This window comes from Homo sapiens, chromosome 4, assembly GCF_000001405.40.
Source record: "Homo sapiens chromosome 4, GRCh38.p14 Primary Assembly".
Taxonomy (NCBI): domain Eukaryota; kingdom Metazoa; phylum Chordata; class Mammalia; order Primates; family Hominidae; genus Homo; species Homo sapiens.
Window position 1 is genome coordinate 126,373,292 of NC_000004.12, and position 2,300 is coordinate 126,375,591.

A 2,300-nucleotide genomic window follows, 5' to 3' on the forward strand; every position below is an offset into this window, starting at 1 on the left:
ACTAGGTAATATAAAAAGGAATAACAAAAGCCACCTAGATTAGACTGTGAAGTCAGGAAAATCCTGAATCATGATGGGATTTAACTGGTGAAGTCAAGGGAATGATTGAATGCAAAAGGCAGAGCATGTTCAAGGGTCCTGAGAAAGAACTTGAATTTTGCATGGACTGAGAAGATCAGTGTGGCTGAAGCAGGGAAAATATTGATAGAGAACAGCTAGAAATGAGCACTGAAAATTACATAAAGGATGAATCATGTACAAATGATTAGCTAATAATAAAGTTTTAAAATTTTATTTTAAATTTAATAAATAATAGTTTTATAATTTTAAACTGAGACTAATATGACCTCCTTTACCTTTTAACAAAATCACTCTATCTTCTGGGTGAAGAATGCATTAGATGGAGGTAAGGATGGATATGAAAAGACTGGAGGCTAATAAAAAAAACAATGATGTGGACTAGAATGAAAGCAGGAAAATGTATCAACAGTATTTGGAGATGAATTGTGAGTAGAAGATAGGCAATGGAAAGTGAAATTTCCCAAAGTCTGGCTGACATCATTGAAGTCAATTAATGAAGTGGGTCAACTCTGGAGGAATAGTACATTTGAAAAGAAAGATCAATAATGCCATTTTGAACACCTTAATTTTGAGATGTTTGTCACCAAAATCGATATGTTGAGTTGCCATTTGGATAGAGGAGTACAGAGCTCAGAAGAGAAATCGAAAATAGAGATAGTAATTGGGAAGCTTTCACAAATACATGGGTTTTTTTTAAGACATAAAAATTGATGAGATTGCTTTGAGTGAGGGTGTATAATGAGTAAAAATATTCAAATGTCCAAAGATTATTTAAAGATTGGGAAAAGGGAGAAATTACAAGAGAAAAATGAAAAATTGCTAACAATATTTAAGAAGAAATTAAGAGAATTTGATATCATAAGAAGGAATAGAATAGATTTCACAAAGACAGGTACGGAGAAAATTTTTTCAAATGCTTCTAGAACATTAAAATAGACATAGAGGATTTAAAAGTTTACATTGGTTTTAACAGCATGGAATTCACCAATGTAACCAGAGCCCTTTCAGTAGACTGGAGGAGTGAGAGGCTAAATGGCATGAATCAAAGTTAATGGAAGTGAGGAAGCAAAGGCAAAGAGAATAGACAGAGCTTTAAGGATACTGTAATATGTGGAGTGACTTTGAGAAGATTATGGTTGAAAGGGATGTTTTAAGAAGGAAGGGTAGTAAATTTGTTTAAAATGATGATGGAAATAACCCAATAAGGAATATGCAGGTGAAGATCCAGAAGAAAAAAATATATAGCCAATATAGTTTGGTTACAGGAAGTGAGTTTGGCACTTAATTGGGCCAGACTAAACCTGAAGTATCTTACACAGATTGATTCTTCAGCTTGGGATAAGAAAAAGACGGATAGTGGGATTGACATGGTTTGCATGACAAGAATATAAACAACCTCAGCCATGATTTTACTAGATATCAAAAGATGAACTGCTGCAAAGTTCATCAATTTTCTTAATCCCATCTGTTTACTAGAAATCTTAAAATCTTTAAAATGTGAACAGGTGGTCATGTGCTTTGTGCAGAAACACCAGATATGGATAATAATTGGGAAATACTATCTGGCTCTGTAGAAGCCCTAAGGGGAAAAGATACCAGAGAGGAGATGAGTATCACAATGCAGCTCAAATCAAACACTCCAGGGATCAAAAGGAGGTGGGCCGTGAATGTGCCCAGGGAACAAGCCCCACATCACCAGTCAGTATTCAGGGTCTGTCTTCTTTTCACCTCACAACCTGGTGGTCTTTCTCTCTTTATTCCAAGCGTCCATAATGTCTATCATTTTCTGTTCCCATACACTTAAAAAGGTGTACCAAACTAAAGAATACATTATCCATTTTCTCTTATTATTACAAAGGCCTCACCAAACTTTGAGAGGTAGTAAAGATAACTTACTTCAGGTATTTTGAGAGACTGGTTGTAGAATACTTTTAAAATTAGAGAATTATTTGTTCAGAAATGGTTAGATTTGGACAATACCTTTTAAGAAGCAAATGTAATGATATGTTCAAAGATACAGAGATGGACTTCTTTCAAAAGTAATAATAAAACTATAATTAGTGATGAATGATCTTGAATTACCTGCTGAGTCAAATCATCAACTGAGGTTCTTAAGAGTGAAAACCTTACAGAATGTTTTTTCCCACGAAATTTCCAGTAGCCTTTGTTTAGTTTGTGCCTGACTTGGAATTCCAGTACAAAAGTCTTTCTTGTGGTAG